This window comes from Homo sapiens, chromosome 6, assembly GCF_000001405.40.
Source record: "Homo sapiens chromosome 6, GRCh38.p14 Primary Assembly".
Lineage (NCBI taxonomy): Eukaryota > Metazoa > Chordata > Mammalia > Primates > Hominidae > Homo > Homo sapiens.
The window spans coordinates 38,553,963-38,579,677 of NC_000006.12; the positions used below are offsets into that span (position 1 = coordinate 38,553,963).

Below are 25,715 nucleotides of genomic sequence, written 5' to 3' on the forward strand. Positions count from 1 at the left end.
ACAAAACACACTATTTACTAGTTTAGCCGTCTCAGTGTCAACTTTTCAACATTTTGATGAAAATTTTGATCATACTAATAAAAGAAACCATATGGTATTGAATATTTTCAGCATCTAAGAAGGTAAATCTCAGAGTCAAATCCTCAGACAAACATAAATTAAGATTTATGGCTAGCATGATATATGAGCTACATGATTTGCCATAAAATAGAGAAGAAGGAGTCAGTCACACATCATACTTTTGAGTGAAAAGCAATCTCACAACTATTAAGAGATTCATGATGTGCCTGTCACACAGATGCTATAGACAGCCACACAAATCCTGTGAATGTTTTGTCCCCAGATCAAGGGACTTATCTCAACTATACAGTGACTAATTCAACCCCTCTCAGAGGAATGAACTTTTCCAATAAAAGAAAAATAAATGGAAGTGCCAGCCACTTTAAATCAAGCACTTAACTAACGTGTTGCTATTTAAATTGTAGATAAATATTCTGGCCTAAGTTCAAGGGAGGCATGAATGCAAACGTGGGTCATAATGAATGAGCTCTATTTAGAAAATGGCTTTAAGGTATACATTTACTTTTCAAGTTCCCAAAAAAATAATCTTCTGATTTTATTAGAACGGAGCTTGCATACTGTTTGGAAGTTACCAGAAAATCAACTGTGCATTGTAATTTCAAGTGATATATGTTCTTTTCACAGATTTCAAAATCCCCAAAACACTGAATTCTTGGATACTATCACAACCTTGGGGTATTCCCCAGACTCTAAGACTTAAAAAAAAAATCCAAAAAGGAATGGTATCCTCAGAAATAATGGGCTTCCAGAAGCTTGGCTGTAGTGAAAGCAGCCAGCAGGGTATATGAAACTCCACTCTTGCTGTTGCAGCGGAGCCTGCCAAGTCTACCAGTAGGCCAAATTAAGGCTGGTAAAGTTACAAACACGTTTTCCTTTTCAAATGGATTAGGAAGCTCCAAAATGTATTCATCTTAGAGTGTGAGTAACATCAAAGCTATGGGTGATGCTACTAAAGAGAAACAAAGACTTCAAAAACAATATTGCTACAGTCCCCTCCAGTACCCCCAAACTGGAAATCTTTATTTATGTAATGCCTTTTGATTTAATGAGTGACCTGCAGTCCTTTCTCCAAGATAAAAGTATAATCTGCTGATTAGCTACTCTTCTAGAATAGATTATTGCTCATCAAGGTTCTGTTTCTTTGCCTCACTGGTTAAAAGACAATTTTACTAAGGATGACTCACCCCATCTCTAACTCTCCTTGCCTGTGTTTGTTGCTGCTGTTCGTTACCAGCAAAACTGGAGAGGGAAGACACACAGACACATAAAGACAAGTATATAACCCATTACAGGAGGTTCTCATTATTCCAGAACAACAATTACCTGAAAAAGGACATTTAAAGTGAATTCACTTGAAATAACGACCAAAATTCCATAGTGAATGTGGAAAAGGGGTTTCATTACATTAAAAATTGAGATTAAATGTAAGTATATATTTAATCTTCTACTTAACAAAACGTATGTAATAAATGCAACTATGTGCTAACCAAAATAGTAGTAGTAGCAGTAGTAGTGATAAACAGTTGTTAGATATCTTTTAGTTTTTCTAGCATTTCCTAACTTCCCCAGCACAATTACAGTGAAGAATATTCTTCCAAAAATACCTGGACATCACCAACATTCCTTTAATTTTTAATTGTCAGATTCTTCTTTTGAAATGCTTACCATGTCATCATTTTGGTGGATTTTCTCTTTCTCAATTATTCACTGGTCTCATGCTGCCAGAATTTTATTTGCCAATGGCTTCGTATGTCAGTCTGGCAGCTTTTCAACCTCACTTTTCTCTATTTCATGAAATCTTTATTTCTTGTATTTTTGCAAAATCTGCCATCTGACTTTGCAATTGAGTACACTGATTTTACATCTTCCGAACAATCAGTAAAACACTATAACTAATGGGATGGGCAGGAATAGAATTCACAGGGATGAATGTTTGAGTGGGAACTAATTTTACACGTGGACAGTTCATTAGTGAACATTTTTATACTATGATTACTTCTGTTTCCCTATGCAACCTTCAAAACTGCAAGGCTCGAGGTAATGAATATTCAGCTAACAAGGGCATCATATACGAAAGGCCACAGTCATCATGGAAATGCCTGTCTTTGGGAACTAGAAAGGTTTCTCAGGGAACTAGAAGCACATCCCAAGGTACATCCTAACATTCTACATTTTAATGTTTCCTGTCTGCATGGCCTATCATCATAGTATAAATAGACTAAATAAAATGATAACTAGTATGCATCCCACTATTTGATCATGAAAATGATTTCAATCTGGCACCATTCACTAACTATAACAGCAAAATTAAAATCTTGATTTATTAATTTAAGCATTCAAATGTATATCTGACAACTGCCAGATTCCAGACCTACTAAGGGGTCTGGAAAGTCAAATGGCAAATGCTTTTAGAAGATTAAGAGATATATAGCAAGCATATGGATATTATCTTTGTCCTATAAAGTGTGTGTGTGTGTGTGTGTGTGTGTGTGTGTGTGTGTGTGTGTGAGAGAGAGAGAGAGAGAGAGAGAGATTTGATCACCCAGGAGTAAAAGTTATTACTTCAGAATCCAAAGTCCAAAATAAAACATTTTTTTTTAATCTTTGAAGCCTCACACACAAAAAAAGATAATACCACAAGATGATAAACAGAGATGAAAAAGACAGCACTGTGTGTTTAAAAAGACCTTCGGCCGGGCGCGGTGGATCATGCCTGTAATCCCAGCACTTTAGGAGGCCGAGGCGGGTGGATCACCTGAGGTCAGGAGTTCGAGATCAGCCTGACCAACATGGTGAAAACCCGTCTCTACTAAAAATACAAAAATTAGCCAGATGTAGTGGCGCCTGTAATTCCAGCTACTTGGGAGGCTGAGGCAAGAGAATCGCTAGAACCTGGGAGGTGGTGGTTGCAGTGACCCGAGATCGGGCCATTGCACTCCAGCTTGGGGAACAGAGCGAGACTCCATCTCACCAAAAAAAAAAAAAAAAAAAAAAAAAAAAAAAAAAAAAAAAAGGGCCAGGCACGGTGGCTCACATCCTCACATCTGTAATCCCAGCACTTTGGGAGGCCACGGTGGGCAGATCATGAGATTGGGAGTTTGAGAACAGTCTGGCCAACATGGCAAAACCCCGTCTCTACTAAAAATACAATAATTAGCTGGCAGTGGTGGCAGGCGCCTGCAATCCCAGCTACTCAGGAGGCTGAGGCAGGAGAATCACTTCACCCCGGAGGCAGAGGCTGCAGTGAGCCAAGATCGTGCCATTGCACTCCAGCCTGGGCGACAAGAGCAAGACTCAGTCTCAAAATAAATAAATAAATAAATAATAAAAAGACCTTTAGAGTCAGACAGACCTCAGCTTCAGTCCCAGCGGTTATGTTCTAGCTGTGTGATTATAAGTTCAATATGCTCTCTAAGCCTCAGTTTCCTCATTTGTGAAATACAATAGTTGGACAATAATACTTATTTCCTGGGTAAGACCAAATGAAATACTCAGTGTCTGGAAAATTGTGGGCCTTACCTATGTTATAAACCATATCTTAGCTAATAAATAATTTTCCTCCTTCTTCCAGGCATTATGACAACAATGTAAACCTTCTACCTGTTTATAAAAACAAGGTATTAGGATATCACTATGAGGACTCTGTCAGAATCCCTTGATAACGCCAATATTATAAACAAAGCTTCCCAAAAAAACAGAGGTCCCAGACCAGGCACATATCTTCTAAGCCTTACAAATAAGGGGGGTAAAGTTATTTAGATATGAGAGTAGCTTCTTTCTCAGTGACAATGTATAACACAACCAACTGTGAAGTTGGACATAGCCAAGTTAGAATCCACTTTTCTGATTTTGAGATCTTAGAGAAATTACTTAACCTTTCTGAGGCTGTGTGAAATGAAGATAATAAATAAGGCCTGCCTCCAAGAGTTGTTTAACGAACTCTTGGTGGTTCATGCCTGTAATCCCAGCACTCTGGGAGGTCAAGGCAGGACAATTACTTTAGCCCAGGAGTTTGAGACCAGCCTGAGCAACACAGTAAGACCCTATATCTAGAAAAAATAAAAAATAAAACCAGCCAGGTTTGGTGGTATGTGCCTGCAGTCCTAGCTACTCCAGAGGTTAGAGGGTAACTTGAGACCAAGAGTTCCAGGGTAAAGTGGGGAATGATTTTGCCACTGCATTCCAGCCTGAATGATGCAGTGAGACCCTTTCTTAAAAAAAAAAAAAATCTATCAGGTCTAGGAGCCTTTTGGTGGAGGCTTTAGGGTTTTCCAAGTATAGAATCATACTGTCAATGAAAAGAGATAATTTGACTTCTACTCTTCCTATCTGGATGCCTTTTATTTCCTTCTCCTGCCTGACTACTCTGGCTAGGACCTTCAGTACTATGTTGAATAGGCGTGGTGAGAGTGGACATCCTTTCTTTTAATGTTTTCAAGGAGAATGCTTCCAGCTTTTGCCCATTTAGTATGATGCTGGCTATGAGTCTGTCATAGATGGCTCTTATGATTTTGAGGTATGTTCTTTTGATGCCTAGTTTGAGGTTTTTTATCATGAAGAGATGTTGGATTTTACCAAAAGCTTTCTGTGCATCTATTAAGATGATCGTATGTTTTAAATTCTGTTCACGTGGTAAATCACATTTATTGATGTGCGTATGTTGAACCAACCTTGCATCCCAGGAATAAAGCCTGCTTCATCATGGGGAATTAACTTTTTGATGTGCTGCTGGATTTGGTTTGCTAGAATTTTGTTGAAGATTTTTACATCTATGTTCACCAAGGATATTGGCCTGTAGTTTTCTTTTTTCCCATATCTTTGCCAGGATATCAGGGTGATACTAGCTTCACAGAATGAGGTAGGGAGAAGTCTCTCCTCCTCCATCGTTTGGAATCATTTCAGTAGAATGGGTAGAATGGGAACCACCAGCCCTTTTCTGGATAGCTGGTAGAATTTGGCTGTGAATCCATCTGGTCCAGGGTTTTTTGTTTTTTGGGTCTTTTTTGTTTGTTTTGGTTGCTAAGTTTACTATAACTGATTCCATTTCGAAACTTGATATTGGTTTGTTCAGGGTTTCAATTTCTACCTTATTCAATCTTAGGAAGTTGTCTGTTTCCAAGAATTGTTCCATTTCTTCTCGATTTTCTAGTTTGTGTGCACACAGGTGTTTTCATAATAGTTTCAGAATACAAAATCAATGTACAAAAATCAGTGGCATTTCCATACTCTAATAACATTCAAGTTGAGAGCCAAATCAAGAATGCAATCCCATTTACAATAGTCACACACATACAGGGAAAAAAAAAACTAGGAATATGTCTAAATAAGGAGGTGAAAGATCTCTACAAGGACAACTATAAAACACTGCTGAAAGAAATTAGAGATGACACAAATGAATGGAAAAACATTACATGCTCACGGACTGGAAGAATTACTATCGTGAAAATGGCCATACTGCCCAATGCAATCTACAGACTCAATGCTATTCCTATCAAAGTATCAACATCATTTTTCACAGAATTAGAAAAAACTGTTCTAAAATTCACATGGAACCAAAAAAGAGCCTGAATAGCTAAAGAAAATCCTAAGCAAAAAGAACAAAGCTGGAGGCATCACATTACCTACTTCAAATGACACTATAAGGTTACAGTAATGAAAACAGCACGGTACTAGTACAAAAACAGACATGTAGCTCAATGGAACAAAATTGAGAACCCAGAAATAAAGCCACACACCAACAACCATCTGATCTTCAACAAAGTTGACAAAAACAAGCGAGGGGGAAAGAATTCCCTATTTAATAAACAGTGCTGGGATAACTGGCTGGTCATATGCAGAAAAATGAAACTGGACCTCTCCCCTTCATTATACACAAAAATTAACTCAAGATGGATTAATGACTTAAATGTAAGACTTCAAACTATAAAAATCATAAAAGAAAACATAGGAAATACCATCTATCTATACATCAGCCTTGATAAAGAATTTATGACTAAGTCCTCAAAAGCAATAGCAACAAAAACTGACATGTAGGACCTAATTAAACTAAAGTTTTGCACAGCAAAAGAAACTATCAACAGAATAAACAACCCACAGAATGGGAAAAAATATCTGCAAACTATGCATCTGACAAAGGTCTAATATCTAGAATTTATACGGAACTTAATTCAACAAGCAAAAAACAAATAGCTCCATTAAAAAGTGGGCAAAGGACATGAACAGACACTCCTCAAAAGACCTACAAGTAGCCAAAAAACATATGAAAAAATGTTCAACATCACTAATCATCAGAGAAATGCAAATCAAAACCACAATGCGATACCATCTCACATTAATCATAATAGCTATTACTATTATTTTTGACTTGTCAGAAATCGATAAAATGTTTTATTTGTATATATGCAAAATCAAAATCTTTTTGTACACAAAATATTTGCAAATTAATAAAAACATAACATTACTGCTAAATATAATCCTTTATATAAACATTTTTAAAACTACACAATATTTTGCTTTCCCTTTTTTGAAATTTATTTTTTTTAACTTTTAATTTAGGTTCAGGGATACATGTGCAGGTTTATTTATATAGGCAAATCCGTGTTACAGGGGTTTGATGCACAGATTATTTCACCACCTAGGTACCCATTATAGTACCCAATAGCTATTTTTCTGATCCTCTCCCTCCTTCCACCCTCCCCGCTCAAGTACACCCCAGTGTCTACTGTTCCCCTCTTTGTGTCCATGTGTTCTCATTATTTAGCTCCCACTTACAAGTGAGAACATACAGCGTTTGGTTTTCTGCTACTGGATTAGTTTGTTAAAGATAATGGCCTCAGGCTCCATCCATGCTCCTGCAAAGGACATGATCTCGCTCTATTTTTATGGCTGCATAGTATTCCATGGTGTATATGTACCACATTTTCTTTATCCAGTCTACCATTGATGGGCATTTAGGTTAATTCCATGTCTTTGCTTTATAAATAATGCTGCAATGTACATATGCATGCATATGTCTTTGTGGTAAAACAATTTATAATCCGTTGGGTATATACTCAGTAATGGGATTGCTGGGTCAAACGGTAATTCTGTTTCTAGTTCTTTAAAGAAATAGCCACACTGCTTTCCACAGTGGTTGAACTAATTTACACTCCCACTAGCAGTGTATAAGTGTTCCCTTTTCTCCACAATCTCACCAGCATCTGTTATTTTTTATTTTTTTACTTTTTAATACAGAATGGCTATTATTAAAAAATAACAGATGCTGGAGAGGCTGCGGAAAAACAGGGAAGGATTATATACTGTTGATGGGAATGTAAATTAGTTCAGCCACTGTGGAAAGCAGTTTGGAGATTTCTCAAAGAACTTAGAACTACCATTCAATCCAGGAATCCCTTTATTTGTTATAGACCCAAAGGAAAATAAATTGTTTTACAAAAAAGATACATGAACTCATATGTTCATTGCAGCACTATTCACAATAGCAAAGAGATAGACTCAATCTAGGTGTCTATCAAAAGTGGACTGGATAAAGAAAATATGGTACATATACACCATGGAATAATGCACAGCCATAAAAAAGAATGAAATCATGTCCCTTGCAGCAACATGAATGCAGCTAGAGGCCATCATCCTAAGTGAATTAACACAGGAACAGAAAACTACTCTCTTACTCATGAGTGGGAGCTAAACAGTGGGTACATATGTAAATAAAGATGAGAACAGTAGACACTGGGGACTACGGTGGGGGATGGGGCAAGGGCTGAAAAACTACTTATTGGGTACTATGCTCACTACCTGGGTGACAGGACCATTTGTAACCTAAACCTCAGCGAAACACAATATACCCATGTGACAAACCTGCATATGTGCCCCCCGAATGTAAAATAAAAGTTGAAATTAGAGAGAGAGAAAGAGAGAGCATGCAAGTGCACCTAGTACTATAAAGCATCTATCCTTATTACCAATACCCTGCAGATAATGCCATTTTCAAAACAAGATATTAACAAATTGTATTTTTCTTAAGAAGCCAAAATCTGCAAAGATCAAATTATGATGTGGACTCCTTCAGACCCAGATTCTGTAGGGTACATTTAAAAACATATGCTTTGCAGTCTTGAAGATAGCACAGGAAAATAGAAGTCATCACAATACGAAAATATAACATTCTTTCTGTTACACAAAATGGAGATGTGTCTTATTCCATTGACTGTCTTTCTCCTTCCCTCTTCAGTTTCTTCCTCCTGAATCCGTTTAATCAGTATTTAAACATGCTTTAGCACCTCTCGTCTTTAAAAAGTACATGCATTTCTAGTGTCCACCAGGTACCTTTATTTACCTTCATGGCGAAGTTTCTCAAAAAAAGTGATCTATTCTTTTTTTCTTCATTTCCTCATCTCCCAGAACTTTTAAAAAGTAACTTCAACTCCCTATTTATTTTTTAAAAATGATCGCATAGCCAAGTATAACAAAAGATAAATAAACATCTACTACTACTTGCTTAATCAATATTAAAGTTTGGTGTGTATCCTTCCACACCATTCTCTATTCTCATATAAATCCAAATAAACATTTATATACATACGTAAGGTTGTTTATTGACAAAAGAAGTATCTCTAATATGTGTTGTTCATCTAACAATTTTTATTAAAATCCCTCTAGGTCAATTCATACAGATATAATCAATTCCTTATTGATGGGCATTTTGGTAGTTTTCAGTTTTTTGAAGCTATAAGCAATGCTACAATAAACATGCTTACATACCTATTTTCTTGGAATGAATTTTGCCAACAAGGGGATTGCTGGCTCAATGGGTGTATGCATGTTTAATTTTATTATAAAGTATACATTTCCTTCTTTAACCCACTCTAATCTGACTTCCACCACTACTGTATCAGTAAAACTGCTCCTGCCAAGGTGAACCATGCACTGAGTGTTGCCAGGGCTGATGGACACTTCCCATTCCTCATCTACTTGATCTGCCACTGATGACCTGTCCCTCTTTCTTGAAGCCACACATTCTTGACTGTCCTTTTCTTGCTGGCTATTCTTTCCCCATTTCATTTTACAACTTCTCTTCTACCTGAGCAAATTTTGGAGCACTTCAGACTCAGTCCTAGGTCCTCTTTTCTTTTTCCTCTACACTTTACTACATTCTATTTCCTTTGGATCTAATTGGCTCCTATGGTTTCAAATATCATCTTCTAAGACAACAACTCTTAAGTTTCTATTTCTAGCCCAGACCTCCTTTTCCATCTTCAAGCCTGTATCTAACAATGCTCCCTGGAAGTCACATAAGCTGAAGAACACATCTCAAATCCACTCGTTTCTCTCTGACTCCACTGCCACGATCCTTACACAAGACCACCACTCCTCTCCTATGCTACAACAGAGGTCTCCCAACTGGTTTCCCTTCTTCCACTTCGGCCCAACTCAATCCATTCCCCACAAGGAGGCAAAGTCTTTAAAAAACTAAAGTCAGATCATGTCACATCCCTCAATACCTTCCTAGGAGCTGCATTTTTGATAGACTACCACAAGCTCTTTAACGTGCCCCACACACACATGCAGACCTGTACGACCTGGTCATTACCCACCTTTCCTCCTCTACCTCGCTGCCACTCCCAGCACACTGACATCTTTTCATTTCCTTAAGCAAGCCAAGTTCTTTCCTCCCTCAAGATTTCCCTACCTGTCTCTGCTCCAAACGCTTTCCCCTTTTGTCTGCCTATCTAACTTTTTTTTTTTTTTTTTTTTTTTGAGACGGAGTCCTGCTCTGTTGCCCAGGCCGGAGTGCAGTGGCACGATCTTGGCTCACTGCAAGCTCCGCCTCCCGGTTCCATGCCATTATCCTTCCTCAGCCTCCCGAGTAGCTGGGACTACAGGCGCCCGCCACCACGCCTGGCTAACTTTTTTGTATTTTTAGTAGAGACGGGGTTTCACCGTGTTAGCCAGGATGGTATCAATCTCCTGACCTTGTGATCCGCCCACCTCAGCCTCCCAAAGTGCTGGGATTACAGGCGTGAGCCACCACACCTGGCCTTGCCTATCTAACTCTTAATCATCACTTAGGTCTCAAAGATCTCTTCCCTGAAGGACCTCCCCTGACTCCCCAGTTTAAACTGTATTCGTGTTATACCTTTACTGTCCACTTGTGCTTTTCTCTCTCCACATTTATCACAGCTTTCTTTCTTTACTTGTCATTACTGTGTTTAATATCTGACTCTCCTACTAAGCTGTAAGCTTTAAGGGTGGGGGATGTGTGTTCAAAACTCCCCACTGTTAATTCTAGTCCCAGTACAGTTCCTGCCATGTAGCAGGCACTCAGTATGTTTTTGTTGAATAAATGAGGAAAAAATACTTTTATTTCATTGAGGAGATCAAAAATTCTCTGGAAGAAGTGGCATTTCAGCTTGCTAAATGAATACATGGGATTTCAGGAGTGGAGATGAGAGAACATTTCAGAAAGAGGAACTGAGACCACATGTTTGGTACTAGTTAGAGATTTTTTAATCTAAAATCCAGCTCAATCCTGGCACCAAGCATAACATAAGAATCTCACTATATGGCCGAGCACGGTGACTCACGCCTGTAATCCCAGCACTTTGGGAGGCCAAGGTGGGCGAATCATTAGGTCTGGAGATTGAGACCATCCTGGCTAACATGGTGAAACCCCATCTCTACTAAAAATACAAAAACAAAATTAGCTGGGCGTGGTGGTAGGCACCTGTAATCCCAGCTACTCGGGAGGCTGAGGCAGGAGAATCGCATGAACCCGGGAGGCAGAGCTTGCAGTGAGCCGAGATTGCACTGCTGCACTCCAGCCTGGGCGACAGAGCAAGACTCTGTCTCAAAAAAAATAAATAAATAAAAATAAAAAAGATCTCACTATATAAAAACAAAGCAGATAAAATAGCAAATGTCACCATTTTTTTTCTTAAATAATAATTCTGCAACTAGCTTAAACTGATTCCTTCACAACTTCTGTCTACCTATGTCATTCCATTTCCTAGCCATTTAGGTTCTAAACTTCAAAATTCTTCTTGATTTTTTTTCTCCATATTCAATCAATCATAAAGTTTGACTGGTTTTTCTTCTGAACTGTCTTTCACAGCTATTTCCTTTCACCCTTTTAATGAAAGATATTCTAATTCAACCCCCCTTCACTAATCACATTACTGCATCCTTTTCCTAAACAGAGTTTCTCAACCTTGACGCTATTGACATTTGCAGCTGGATAATTCTTTGTTGTAGGGAGATGTCCTGTGCATTGTAAGATGTTTAACAGCATCTGTGGTTTCTACTCACTAGATACCAGTAGTATGCAACCCCTCAAAACAGTCTCCAGACATTGCCAAATATCCCTTAAGGGAGCAAATTCACCCCCAGTTGAGAACCACTGTTCCCATGAGATGACCTCTTGGGAAAAGCCCTATAAAACCATCTGATCAAAACTCTATCCTTTGAGGCTAACTCGACTTTCATCTTTTCTATGAAATTGTGATATCTATCAACAACAAGTGCACAGTTGTTTAATTTTTACAAATAATGAAAAATCTGCATAAAACAAATGAGACCATGATTTGCTTGTCAGTTCAAACAAAGATTCAAAATAATGATAATGCCCATTGTTGATAACAATGTGGGAAAATGGAAACTATCATTCATGGAGAGGAATAAACGTATAATATTTGTGGATAGCATTTAGTAAAATGTTTCACACTTTGAGATGATTATAATACTTTGACCTTGCTTGTTTAGAGATAATCAGACAAATGGGCAAAGACTACATTGTTCTGTAATTGCAAAACTGGAAACATCCTAAAGGTCCCTTAATAGGGGACTGGTCAGGTAAGCAACAAGCAACAATACATTTAGAACACTTTGCTATTGTTTAAAAGGATAAAGTAGGTTGGTCTGAAGTAGTGAGTTATCTCGATTGTTCACAGTCAGTTACAGATCGAAATCCTTATTCTACTCTTTGTCCACTTCTCACTACTGCACTTGACTAAAAAAAAATTAAAGATAAAAAAAATTTTAAGGGGAAAGTAGATTTTATTGATATAGAATAACAACCACAATAAATATAAAGATATATGTGTAAGGTTTCAAAACAGCATATACTACATAATACCATTTTTGTAAATAACATGTTTGTGTATGATTACACATAGAAGGCTAAAAGATATGTCAAAATATTAACAAAATTTCTGTAGTCAAATCATATTTTAAATGTATTAGAGGAACTGCTAAATCTTCTTGAAAAATCTTAAAGAAGTCAAGTATATGAATCTATACTTTAAAATCTTCAGTTTACTTAAAGCAGGTATATTCTCCACCTTTATTTCGGGCAAATATCCTGAGTTGAAATATTTTTTCTTAACCATACTTTTGCCCTAGAGAAATCAATGGTAAAAAGGAAGTTTACAGAGAAAAATATACTTTTGTGCAGACAGCTTACCGGTGTGATGCAGCCATGAATCACACTGAAAATAAGTCCCTTGAAATCAAAGAAAACAATATGTTTATACAAAGAATGTGCCCCAAAGTTCCCCAACAAAGAAAAGTGTTTAATCGAAATATTCGTTGACAGCTGGTTAGTGCTGATTCTCAAGTAGAAAAGAAAATCAGTGTCATTGTAGTCTATTGTTTTGTGTGTAAGAGCTGAATATGCAAATGAGACCAAAATGGAGACTCATTATCTGTTTTACACTTCAAGTGTGATTTTAAGCACTGTAGGTATACATACACACACACATCCAGAATACACATATATCTCAACAAACCATGCACATCATCTGTTCAGAACTGGGAAACGCGTGCATGCTTCTACAACATTAAATGGAAGGCAGATGGTAGTCACTGATCAACAGACATAAAATAAAGTCCTTCTAAATCCTACTCTCTCTAACAGTCCTTCTAATTTTTTTCCTTAGAAAAATATCAAGCAGTTTTTCATTACTGTTGATTTGCAACTCCAAAATTACAATGGGCAATGCAAAACAGGATTTAAAAGAAGGAAAAACGTCTTTTGGCACAGATTTCTCTTTCATAGTCTTAGGCAGGCGATAACACTAACTTTGAAACCATAGCATACTGTAGTTTTATCAGTAACTAATGTGTAAATTAGTTCTTTCTATAACTGAAGGTTTAGCTTTCAAAATAATTACTGATCATTTTAGTCTGCATCACATTTCTTTTGCAAAATGAGATGAACTAAAACAGCTGTTACATTCTAATAGCTTTATAATGTGCACAGAATTTCTATGACTATTAGAAATTAAACCTATAGCTTCTTATCATGAAGGACATATTCATGTGTATATATGACCCATATTATTTGGAAGAAGAATTATTAACTAATGAAATTATAATTTGAAACATAAGTAAGGCCGCTAAAGAAAATATTACAGCTCTTAAATGAGGTCAATGCCAACAGTCCACTCCAATCCACAATCCACTCCCCCCACCTTTCTTCGCATCAATAAAGTGCTTTGGGCTGAAGGAAGTCCAAGTGTTCGTGCTACCACCGTTCCTTGCAGGGATTGAGCCCTCTATTTTCATACTGGGAGATGAATTTTTAGAAGATGAACCAGGCCTGGCACTCTGCCCAGATTTTCTGGCAGCCGACAAGCAATCTGGTTTTACTTCTGGTCTACTCTCCCTTGAGCTAACCTTGTATCCACAGACAGCACCCTGATCTAGGGAACTTCTACCATTTATAATGATGACTGAGAAAGCTCTGATGATTTTACTAACCGTGGGACTTGTACTCACAGTCTTCTTTAAACATATTTCCTGTGGAAAAAAAATATAAAATTTTGTTTCCTATTATTTCCTTCTAACACTGGCAAAAAAAAATAGCAGTGTTAAAAGGGTATTTTCCAGAAAAACAGATTATTATCCAGGCACCTGCATTCAGGGATTTTAGAGAGCTAAAGAGATTCAACAAGATACCTGATGAGCCACTACCACCAAAGGAATATAAAGCAAGGTCCAGGAACTGCAAAATGATTTCAAAAGTATACAAGATATATAATTAATGGCTAATTGGGAGATTCAAGCTATAAATACTATGAAAGGTCAGAGCAATCATTGTTAAGTAGTATGGGGTGAAATCTGAATGTACAAGATTTAACTCTCCACTGACAGAATTATTAACTACTCAACAATATCATTTTTAGAGCACCATTGCCAAAGTAAGCAGGATAGAAAAATGACTATGTAATTCACACACAAAAAATCTGTATCTAAGTTTGTTTGTTTATCTACAAGATCTAATTGTCCCTCCATCTTCTTGGTCATCCAAAAAGCAATCAATGAAGTTTTATTTCATTGACCACATTTTCTTATTCACTTTAGAAGCTGGATTGAAGGTCCTAGAAACTCTTCCTCACCAGTTTCATTAATTTCTGGGTTCCATTCCCAGTTCCGCAGCTCACTTTTGTCTCTGTTCCTTGTGCTGGAGGCTCTTGGCTCATATTTAGAAGCCCTCAGGTCCTGGATGGCATTGCATTCTGTTCCTTCCTTGCTTCAGGATTTCCTAAGTTTCATAAACAAGTGTTGGGAGAGTTGCAGTACACCAAAACAGACTCCTAAAGGAGATTTCACAAAGGAAAACTGATAGACTAACATTCATTTCCTCACATGCAGCATGTACCCAACAATGAAATATCTATGAAATGTATTATTTTTCTAAGCAAAAGTCACTAACTCAAGTCCTGCCTCCAAAGGAGGGGAGGGGTACTTTCTTTACTTCTTGGGAATTTTTACTGTTTTCTGTGACAACGTAATTTATACTTCTTCGCAGGGAGTCTTTTAATCTTAAAGAAAGAAGTTTTAAAAGCGACAGCTTTAACTAAAACCAAGTAACTCCTAGATACCTTACACAGTTATACAAGGTAACACAGAAAGAGAAGATTGTCATTTATGTATGTTCTCTGAGCTTAGGGACATAGGTAGGAATTACGGGTGGGTAGATGGTAAACAGACAATTTTGATTAGTGAGACAAAAAAAGGTATTCTTTGTAAGAACCAAGAATGATGCTATAGAAGCAGAAGAACCTAATGATGGAGAGCTTTGAGAGAAGGGTTTAGATTTGGCCAAGTCCAATGTAGAGTCTACCTTAGGTAAGTGTCCTGAATACACATTATTTTGCCTGGAAGGGCAAAAACTATATCATGAAATTCTTGACAGCGGCCACTGTGTCTTGTTCATCTTTTTATGTCTGGCACCTAAATGAGGTGCCTACAATATAGCACGTGTTCAATAAATGTTTCTTGCGTGAATGTCTGAATGAATAAATCCCATAAGTAATAAAGTAGTATTCAGAAGAAAAATATGAGAAAAAAGATGTTTGATGATCAACATAGAAGGTGCTACCTGAACTTAATCCTGGGCCTAACTGCTTGGGAAGCAACTGTTAGCAGAGGCAAATATAGTTTTTGCCCTTTCAGAATGAAAAACAGGCAATGGCTATTTGTGGTAATAACAACAGGTGATTAATGTTAGTAACATCATCTCATGCAATAAGCTTATTAGGACACTAATTTATATTCTAAAATTATAAAATACAATGCAAAGGAAAAGGGCAATCCTGTTCTGTTTTCTCACACAAAAGAAGCTCAACATGTTATTATCCTCTAAACAAAACAAAACAAAGAAGCTTGGATTCAATTGAATAACTTAAGGACAAACAGTCATTTCTCAAAGGTCTTACTGAATATAAAACATGGCGGGGTTTTGGGGGATTTTTTTGCTATTGTTGTTGTGTTTTCCCCCTAATAAAAGGGTTCTAGATGAAAATAATAAACAGAAAATTTCCCAACTAAAAAAAAAAAGCAACTCAAGGTGTGAAGAGATCTTGTAAATAAAAATTTCCTAATATATGGAATTTGTTTCTAAACACAGTTTAATGAAAACAAGCTAGGATTCAAGAATATTAGGTTCACTCTATAATAATACTCTAAAATGATCTTATGGAGAACTAAGGGGCAGGAAAATTCGAAGCTCTACAAACAAACTGACAAAACATACCTAGATAAAGGATTGCTGCACTCCCTTTGGAGCATTTTAAAACAGAAAATATCCCCGGTTGTTCATCATCATTATTAGTATAATGTGTGTGTAGTCTGGGTGGCTGTGACCAGCACTAGTAGAATTTGGCCACAGCAGGTCCTCCCCTACAGGATTGCTGGAAACTGCTCCTTCCAAAGAGGTAGTAAGAGCTTCTTCAGGGCTCAATGCCTCCTTCTCCTACTCTAAGGTAGAGCTATTTCTTTACCTTGATTCTTGCATCAGCAATGTAATGTGGAGTCAGGCAGACCTGGTTACAAATTTAGCTTTTCTAAGGCTCAATTTCCTCACCTATAAAATTAAGTAGCGGTTTTTCTCCTACAGGACTATTGTAAGAATTACACAAGGTAATGAGATGTGCCTGACCCACAGAAGATACTCAATAAATGTTAGACTGTTCCCTTCCTACCACTTCTGAGGTCCTGTAACCTCATTTCTCTTTATCCTCATTCCTCTTTTCTTCTGTTTTCTGATTCCTTTTACATATTTAGAGAATCTATCTCCTATCTCCTTTGAGTTACTCCTCTCTTTCAAAATTCCAAAGGAAGGTTAAAAAATATATATATTTGCATGAAACTGAATAGCTGGACTACAGAAGCCCACATTTCTCCTATGCCTTGCAGATGACAACTCAAGAACTAGCTAGCAAGCACCAAAATATATACCTCTGGACTTTGGACATAATTAACGCTCCACATCAGCAGAAAGACTTAAATAGTACAAATAGTTTCACATGTTATTTCACAAATCACAGACTTTCAGAACAATTTATATTTAAATATGATGGTGTAAAAAAGCAATTTTTAAATTCTCTTTAGCTTCGAGTAAAATTGTTATAATTTAGTGACACCATGTGGCTACACTTTGCTTTGCATTCTTAGAAGAAAATGTTCCTCTATGAGGGTTGCTCTTGCTAGTTCAATTGTAATATCAAGGTTGTAGGTAGATGGACAACTCAAACTAAGTATGAACTAAAAAGATAACTTTTTAAAAAATGAAACTAATCCTGTTTCTTTTACATCTGAATAAGGCATTTCTTGAATTGTGAAGCTCTTCAGTCATAAGAAGAAAGTAAAGGCTCAGTATTATTCTAGCTAGGATTCTAAAGCAATCTAGTGAACACTGAATAATGTAAGAGTGTCTACCTTTAAAAGTAAATAGATACATCAATGCCCAGTTATGGGCAGAGGTGTAGGGAACAAAAGAGAAATGAAAGAAGACATATGTTATACAAGTGTTAATATAGCAGGGAAAGAATGCTTCCATAAATAGCAATGCTTATTTTCTCATTTATTTTATGTAGATCTATAGCACTATGTAAGTACTATAATCTAATGAGAATAGGTGAAAAAAAATTATGCTGTATCTATTGACACCAGGAATGAGGGGGGCCTAGAATGTATAGTAGCAATAAATGAGATTAAAATGCCATATACCAAAACACAGTAAAGTTAGAGTATTCCTCTAATGAGGTCTCCCACAGTAGACCAGCTACTGCCAAATAACATTCAATGTACACCAAAGAAAATATTTAGATGTTGTGTAAATATCTAAAACAATGGGCCAGGCATGGTGTCTCACACCTGTAATCCCAGCACTTTGTGAGGCTGAAGCAGTCAGATCGCTTGAGTCCAGGAGTTGAAGACCAGCCTGGGCAACATGGCAAGGCCCCATCTCTACTAAAAATAGAAAAAACTAGCTGAGTGTGGTGACACATGCCTGTAGTCCCAGCTACTCAGGAGGGTGAGGTAGAAGAATCATTTGAGCCCAGCAGGCAGAGGTTGCAGTGAGCCAAGATTGCACTACTGCACTCCAGCCTGGGTGACAGAGCAAGCCCATCTAAAAAACAAAGAAACAATCACACACACACACACACACACAAAACCAAAAACAAATAAAACAATGACCAGAAAATATCACCCCCTTCATCTCAGCTTAAAACACCTACCCCCCATCTCTGGCCTTTTCTAACCATCCTATTTAAAATAATCCTTCTCCCCTGACTTCTGTTACTATCACAGTACCATCTTTGCAACACTTATAATTATGTGATGTGCTTATTATTTGTTTGTTTTAATCTGTTTCTCCCAAATTCCAAAAGCACAGAAACCTTGGCAATCTTCTTCAGTGTTGTGGCCTCAATATCAAGTACAACAATAGCATAAAGTAGGCGCTTATTTGTTGAATGGGTGAGTGACGAATGAATACATAAAATCTATTTCCTTAGCTGGTGAAGCATGCCTAAATTTCCTGTTGTAAGTGAAAGTAGAACCATTCTAGTGAGATGTTTATCATCACTTACGGCCTCTAATGTGACTACAACAACCAGAAGACAGCCTAGCAGATGCTCTATGATACCCTTTCTTTTTTCTATGACACATATGGCACACACAATTTCTCATTCTAAGAAAAGAAGAAAAAGGAGGGAAGTGAACTACAATAATTAAAATACTTTCAGCAAGAATCAAAGAAATCAGTGGAACTGAGTAGGGTATATGCTAGAATCCAGCTCATCATAAATATGGCTGATCACATTAGGATAGCAAGAAATGATTATCAAATAAATGACTTTAATCAACTGACTATCCCTACCTGAAAAGATCTATGCAAAATATCCTGACTGTATTAAATACTTAAGATATAAGGCTTAAAAAAAAAAAACAAGTAGTGGAAAAAATATATATATATACATAAAAGTTTAACATACTTTAATATTAGAGTGAGGAATAATCTTCTAATCATAATACCAAGCCAGAAATCATTTAAAAGACTGACAGATTTGAATACATTTTTTAAAAAGTAAAATTCTATATGGCAAAAAGTACCAATAAAACACTAAAAATGCGTTAACAAATTTCATATATGACAGGCAAAAGGATAATGTCATATATATATATGTATTGATACAAAGTTCTCACAAGACAAAAAGAAAACTATCTCAGAAGAAAAATATGCAGAAGACAAAAACAGGCTTTTCATAAATAAGAAATTAACAAATGGCCAGTATTAAAAGATACTTTAACTCACCAATAAAGAAATTCAAAGTAAAATAGGATTTTTGTTTTAAACAAATTATGTATTACATTGGCAAAACGGTGACAGTGTCTGCATTGGTGAAGGTTCACAGAAAGGGGCATTTTTACATGCAATTGGTAGAAATTGAGTACAACATTTCCAGATGGCAAGTTTTATCAATATTTAAAATATATACATTATAACTTTATAATGAGAGATATTTCCATTTTGATAATTTTTTAAAAAAGGAAATAAAGAAAGAAACCGTTTTGTATTAACCAAGTTCATCTCTCCTATGCCAGACTCTAAATTGTCAATTTACACCCATCTCAACACCCTGTCTGGCCTTGTCTCCAGTAAACAACGCTCCTAATCCTCCTCTAAACTCTGACCAGCCCCTGAAGTAAATACCTCTCCCACCTACGCTCTTGTTCCCTCTCTCAACGGGCATAACCTTGAGAACGTTGCTTTTAGCCCTGCTTTCTTCTCTCTCAACTCCCAGGTTTTAGACCAAGATCCCACTTGCAATTCCAGCCACCAGTCACATGCACACTTTGAATTCTACTTCTATCCATTTTCGCTCATGTTCTAAAGTTTTCTCATTTTTCAGCAATATTATATGGCTGCCAAATTAACAGCACCATGTTGAGGAATAGCTCAAAATTTTAAGAGCACCCCCCAGAGTACTCAATATCCACCATTCATTACTAGTGTTTTCTGTTTAGTACTAGGCTCGATCATCTAAGAAAGCTGTGGAAAGGACTGGGAGAGAGTTTACCAGATAACCAAGAAGACAATTTGAAGGTTACAGATTATGGGTAAAGCGGAAATTGCCTTTCCTGAGAAAGAAAAGGCTGATAAGACATAACATGGTTCTCAAGGCATATGAAAAACTAAACATAAATTGATGAGTCACTTTTCTCCATCTCCAGTTAAAGGCTGAAGAGGATAACTGGTCTAAGCTTTTGGCTACATAGAGCAATCCCCACTTAACTCACGAACATTCCTAAAATGAGTCCAGAAAGGCAAAGCGAACCATTGCTCTGAGTTCATTATCATGGTTGGAATGTTCACACTGGCTTTGAAGCCTGATATTATCTGCCATTAGATAACATCGACTATCTTGGTGAGGTGAATGCTGACTGAATTACATTTGACAAGATAGATGAGTGGCAAATCTTATGTTATATATATTTTACCAACCAAAATATATGAAAACTCCTAGACATATACAAAGATAGGCCGGTTGTTAAGATAAAACTGTTTAAGGCATGTTTTGGACTGTATGTATGGGTTGGCGATACAAAAAAGTACCAAAAAGACTAGGGTCTTTAGAGGTTAGAGTGAGAGCCACCTCACAGTGAGAGCTACCGTGACCAACGAGGATGGCAGGGATGACTCTCTCTGAAGGTCAACCACCATTCAGGAGTTTCTGAAATTAGGAAAAATAATAAAAATGACTGCCATTTATTGAGTCCCTCCTTTCTGCCAGAACTGTGCTCTGTACATGTAAATGTGCTGTATCATCTAACTCTCACATCAAACCCCATGAAGAGGTGTTGGTATTCCTATTCTTTATGGATGCAGATACTAGGGCTCAGAGAGGCACAATCGTATTACAACACAAATATGAGGTGAAACAAAGATTTGAGAAGAGCTCTACCTAACTCCACAGCCCATTGTTTTAAACAAGAATTTGAGAAGAGTTCGACCTAACTCCACAGCCCACTGTTTTAAACAAGAATTTGAGAAGAGCTCTACCTAACTCCACAGCCCATTGTTTTTCTACTACACAGTTCTGATTTATATGCAGTTTAGCCTAAACTCAGAGAGAGGACGGGGTAATCTCAGATTTCTCATACATAAGGTATCATTTTTGTAAATGTATTAGATGTAATCTTTCATCAATACATGACACATTCTTCAGGAATAACCTCCAAATTCAGTTTCCTGAAGAAAAAACAAAGTAACCTTTGCAAACAGTTCAGAACCATTTACCATTACAGAGAATTTTCCAGCACTCATACATGTATTAATGAATACATTGATAAAAAGTCTCAAGGAATATATGTACATATTAATGTTCCCATCAATCTCTCTTCATTACATAGTCATTGCCTTGACACCATGAAACCTGTGCTAACATTTATAGAGTACCTACTGCATACAAGGTCACAGTCTGAGCACTGTGCAAGAATAATAAAAGATTAGAATCCATACTGCCTGCCTCCAAGAGCTTATAATTTTAGTATCAGAGGCAAGATAAACACGCAAAGGACACTAAAGAACAAAGCTGACATACAAACGTGCAAATTAACTAACATAATGCAAACTGAACACTTACGTGCTAAGGAAATAAACAATTTATTTGCCCAGTGAAGTTCTTGGAAGAAGTGCAGTTAGAACATTGTTTAGGTAGACAATGAATAATTGTGAAGATAAGAAACACCAAGACATCCTCAGTTAATCTACAGAGACATATTCTTAGGTTCATTTTTAAATACTATCAAAATTATAACCTAGTAAAAAAGACAGTTTACTAAGGAAAGTAGTAATATAATAAAGTGGCTATAATTTTTAAAAAATTCTTATTAACATGGATATCAAGATTCTTTCCTTTTCTTGTTATCATTATCACTAACATCACTGTTGCTCATTTTTTTTCAACCAGAATTGGGAGCTGGCTATACCAAGACAAAAACTGCCTTCATGAATACAGCCAGTCTCTAAACACGTAACAGCTCTACCAACAAAGTCAAGGCCAGACAGGAAAGACAAAATAAGGAGAGTATAATAATGCTCACTAATATATAAAGGTAAAGTATATTTTCTAAAAGCCAGAGATCATGATCAAAGGCACGTTTCCATACATACAACAGGAGCTTTCAGGTGGGTAAAGCACACAGGCTGTCATGGCTGGTATTATTATATTCATAATGATTTGTTCTGGGAGTCATGTTCCTGTTGTTTCAAATTAAATGCAAACACACAGTCCTTCAGTCCATATCAGACGCTTTGTTATGCTGCCTGTGTTTTAATCAGATACAACAGTAATAACCTGAGTCAATGCAGACTCAATCTCCTCCTCTATGTGGGGGTCCCTCTGTCACTCTGGAAGTATCCCTAGGCAGCTCTGAGATATGGAATCTTCACTCAATTTCTTGTCCCTCTTATTTTAATCCATTCAAAACTCCTCTGATAAAAGAGCAACCGCTAGACCTGAGACACTTTAGTCTGTCTTTGGGGAAATGAAATTGATTTTCTTCATTTTCACACAAGAGGATCCCTGGGTAACAATATTGTGTCCGGTCATACCAATAAAAAAAATGTAGGCAACGTTCTTTACTGTACCAGAGGCTGAACGGTTTTGTGAAGTTCCTTAGTGGAGGTAAAAATTCAGCCTTTTGCTGTTAGACCATAAGTTTCACAAGTATAAGAGTAACTTCTGACCAAGAGACTAAGTGCTGTGGTGCCTTCCCATCTGCTCCCAATCAGCCACAGTGGGAGATCAGATGGGTCATGGGTGAGGGGCCAGCTCCACATTCTCCATGGTGTACACTCACCATATCCCTTCCCTTTTCTTCCTGAGCAAACAAACTAATCACTTTCTACCTTTAATCTTTTGACTTTAAGGTAAAGAATATCTAAAGGCAATTTCCAGTGAGAAAACACAGCAGAAAAAAGCAACAAAATTTTGGGGGCCTTTAACCACCTAAACAAATTCACTAATTTGTATAGGCTTTACAAAATTTCAGAAATTTTAAATGATGGATTATACCTAAAGGGAGAATATGAAATATTAAAACAGTAGCTTTTTGATACTTTTAAAAGACAACCATATCGAGGGCTGCGATACATAACAAAAATAAAAGCAGAGGTGCTCTGGCTGAAGAGAAGCTCTGAGCCTAGAGCCCCACTAGCTAAGCCTCATTTGCCCCAAATGCAACCCCACTTGAAACACCTGTTCTGTCAAACCCCATTTGTTAACCACTAACCTAAAGGAAAAAACAGATAACCAGAACATGTACAATGGCATTCAAAGATGTCCTCTGGCCCTGGCCATTCCCAGGGAAGACTCCAGAAATATTTCTCATGGCTTTCATAAGAAGAATGCACCCCCTAACAATAATTCTGCTTTCAATGTATCACAATGAATATTACCATTCACTGTATAGCACGGAGTTTAAAAAGCATTCCACTTCTCAAATGTTCCCTGTCCCTTCTCATTCATTCACATGTGTACTACATACATATTATACAAGACATGTTGTATAAATAGTTCCACAACACACTGTAAATATTAAGATGCATGATTTTCCATACTTTCCTAAGTTTTTTACTTGGGATATGTTTAGTAGTTGACATCCTGAATAACTCTTTTTTCAAGATGAAAAATGCAGTTCTGCTTCTCCAAGTCCAAATCTCCTTATATAAGAATAAAAATCATTTATTAACCACTGAAAACTAACCTGCAGACACGGGCTGGAAAATATAATTTCTGCCAAGAACGACACAGATATTGTGAATGATCTATCACTCTGACCCAATCAAGTTCATCCATTGACACTTCAATGAAGTATGAGTAAGACCTGTGAATCAAAAGGAAAAAGCAGAAAAAAATTACCACATTAAAAAACAATACAAAGCTGTACTTTAATAAAGTGTTAAAAGGTACAAAAAATACAGAATTCACTAATTACATTTTCTACATAATCAAATTCTAATAACAAAAGAATGTTATGATAGCATTCACCTACAATGCACTGAAATTATCTCTCAGGTTGTCTGTCTGCTTTCTCAAATCATAAGCTGCTTAAGAACAAAGGCCATCCTGTACTTATATTCATATCCCCAGGGTCCTACACAGTGCTTGGCACATCAGGCATGCAAGATATTTACTCCTTTTCAAACATGGTCAGGATGTCTCACCTATACCATATTAGAAGATAAATGATGCCACGAGAGAGAGAAAGAACAGAAAATGGAGAAGCAGGAAGTATGCTTTCTCCCTCTACCTTCCCTGGCCAGGGTGTTCGGCCACCCCTCTAAGGAAGAAAGTCAACTTGGAATGGCTCCCTCACAGAGGGCAGCTTATCTCCTGCTGCCTCCCAGTCTCCTACCCTCCCACATACAAGCTACCTGCAAAAAAATCAATGACACCAGTCAAGAGATAATGCGTGTTTCGTACAACTTAAAACTTGCCAGCTGATAATCTGGCAGTAACGAAAACAGCCTATAATCCTCCCCTAGTCAGCTACTCCGAACCATTACATGCAGGTCCCATCCTGAACAAATCTATATTCCCCTGTCATAAGCCAAATTTAAATTTGAGATGCAGTTATTACTTGTACTGTAATATCAACAGGAACAATCTTGGAAGATTTAGGTGACCATAAATGTCATCCTGCAACCCACAGTTGTGACCAGAAAAGGTCAGCTTATTTTGTGTCATCCCCTCACTTTCTTTGCTGTCCCCTCACTCTCATTCATTTTATCACTCAGTCTCAAACTGGTTATAACCTTTTATTGAACTTCTCTGGGTTATCAGTAACAGAGGATATAATTTTACAACATGTCAGAATCTTTTTGGCTTAAGATTCTGAATTTTTCACCTTTGCTTAGAATGGTAACAATTTCTGTAAGAAAAGAACTGTTATGTGGTAAAGTTAAATCCCCCGTGAATGTAATGCACATACTGACACAAAGTGGCCTATAAATATTAACATCACAGAAACGATGACAACCACTTTGCTTCAAACATACTAAACTTTTCTTTTATTATTTTTATAATAACTTCACTATTAGTTAAATGAGTGAAATACGTAAAGCTTTTAGAACAGTGTCTACCACATAAAAGTAATGAAAGTACTGCATATACATATTATTATTATACTGTTATAATTAATCAGAGACTCTTGGAAATGAGATATGTGGATTGGCTCCACTTTGCCAATTAAAAACATCAAATTATATCCATAAGCTACATATCAGAAAATATATTCTTAATAAAAAGGAAACAGGAAAAGATAACCTGGGGATCTCACACATCATGTACATGGGAAATGCTGACTCACACTTCATAAAGCTTCCCCTCATACTTGGCTCAAATGGCCTAAAAGGCCAGTATAGTGGCAGTTGTGCTAACAGAAGAAACACACTACCTTGTAAGGTTTGCAGGGCATCATCATCATTACTATTTAAGCCCTTCATGCCCAGATCTGAAGAGGCATAAGTGGGGCACAGTTTCTGGGTATGCAGGGTTTAGGTTTATGATAAACAGCAATGAAGGAAACAGTTCAGTTCTTGTCACTCATACTGCTCTGGTACTTCTGCCATTATGGTTGAACCTAGAAGCCACAGTGGGTGAAAGCATCACAGTGGCTGGAAGAAAGGCAGAATTCTGAAGCCCCCAAGAAACTAAATGGGTTCCCAAACTGGAGTTCATTAAACTTTTTCACAAATTTCTTTTGTTTTGAGGATAATACTTATCTACACACTAAAAGACATTATTTCTCTTCACCATATGGTAAAATGCATTTAAAAGGTT

At 37.0% G+C, this 25,715-nt stretch overlaps 1 protein-coding gene across 13 annotated transcripts in view; it reads right to left on the reverse strand.

Annotated features, from left to right (window-relative positions):
- BTBD9 (BTB domain containing 9) overlaps positions 1–25,715 on the reverse strand; it is a 471,479-nt gene that overhangs the window by 385,512 nt on the left and 60,252 nt on the right. For 8 of the 13 annotated variants that reach the window (NM_001099272.2, XM_047418145.1, XM_047418146.1 and 5 more), the window contains one exon: positions 23,638–23,757. In NM_001099272.2, the coding sequence (NP_001092742.1) occupies positions 23,638–23,757 (120 nt within the window). Of the gene's footprint in view, positions 1–12,112; positions 14,673–23,637; positions 23,758–25,715 lie in introns of those variants that run through there. The other 5 variants (XM_011514282.4, XM_047418148.1, XM_017010227.3 and 2 more) reach the window with 2 other exon arrangements.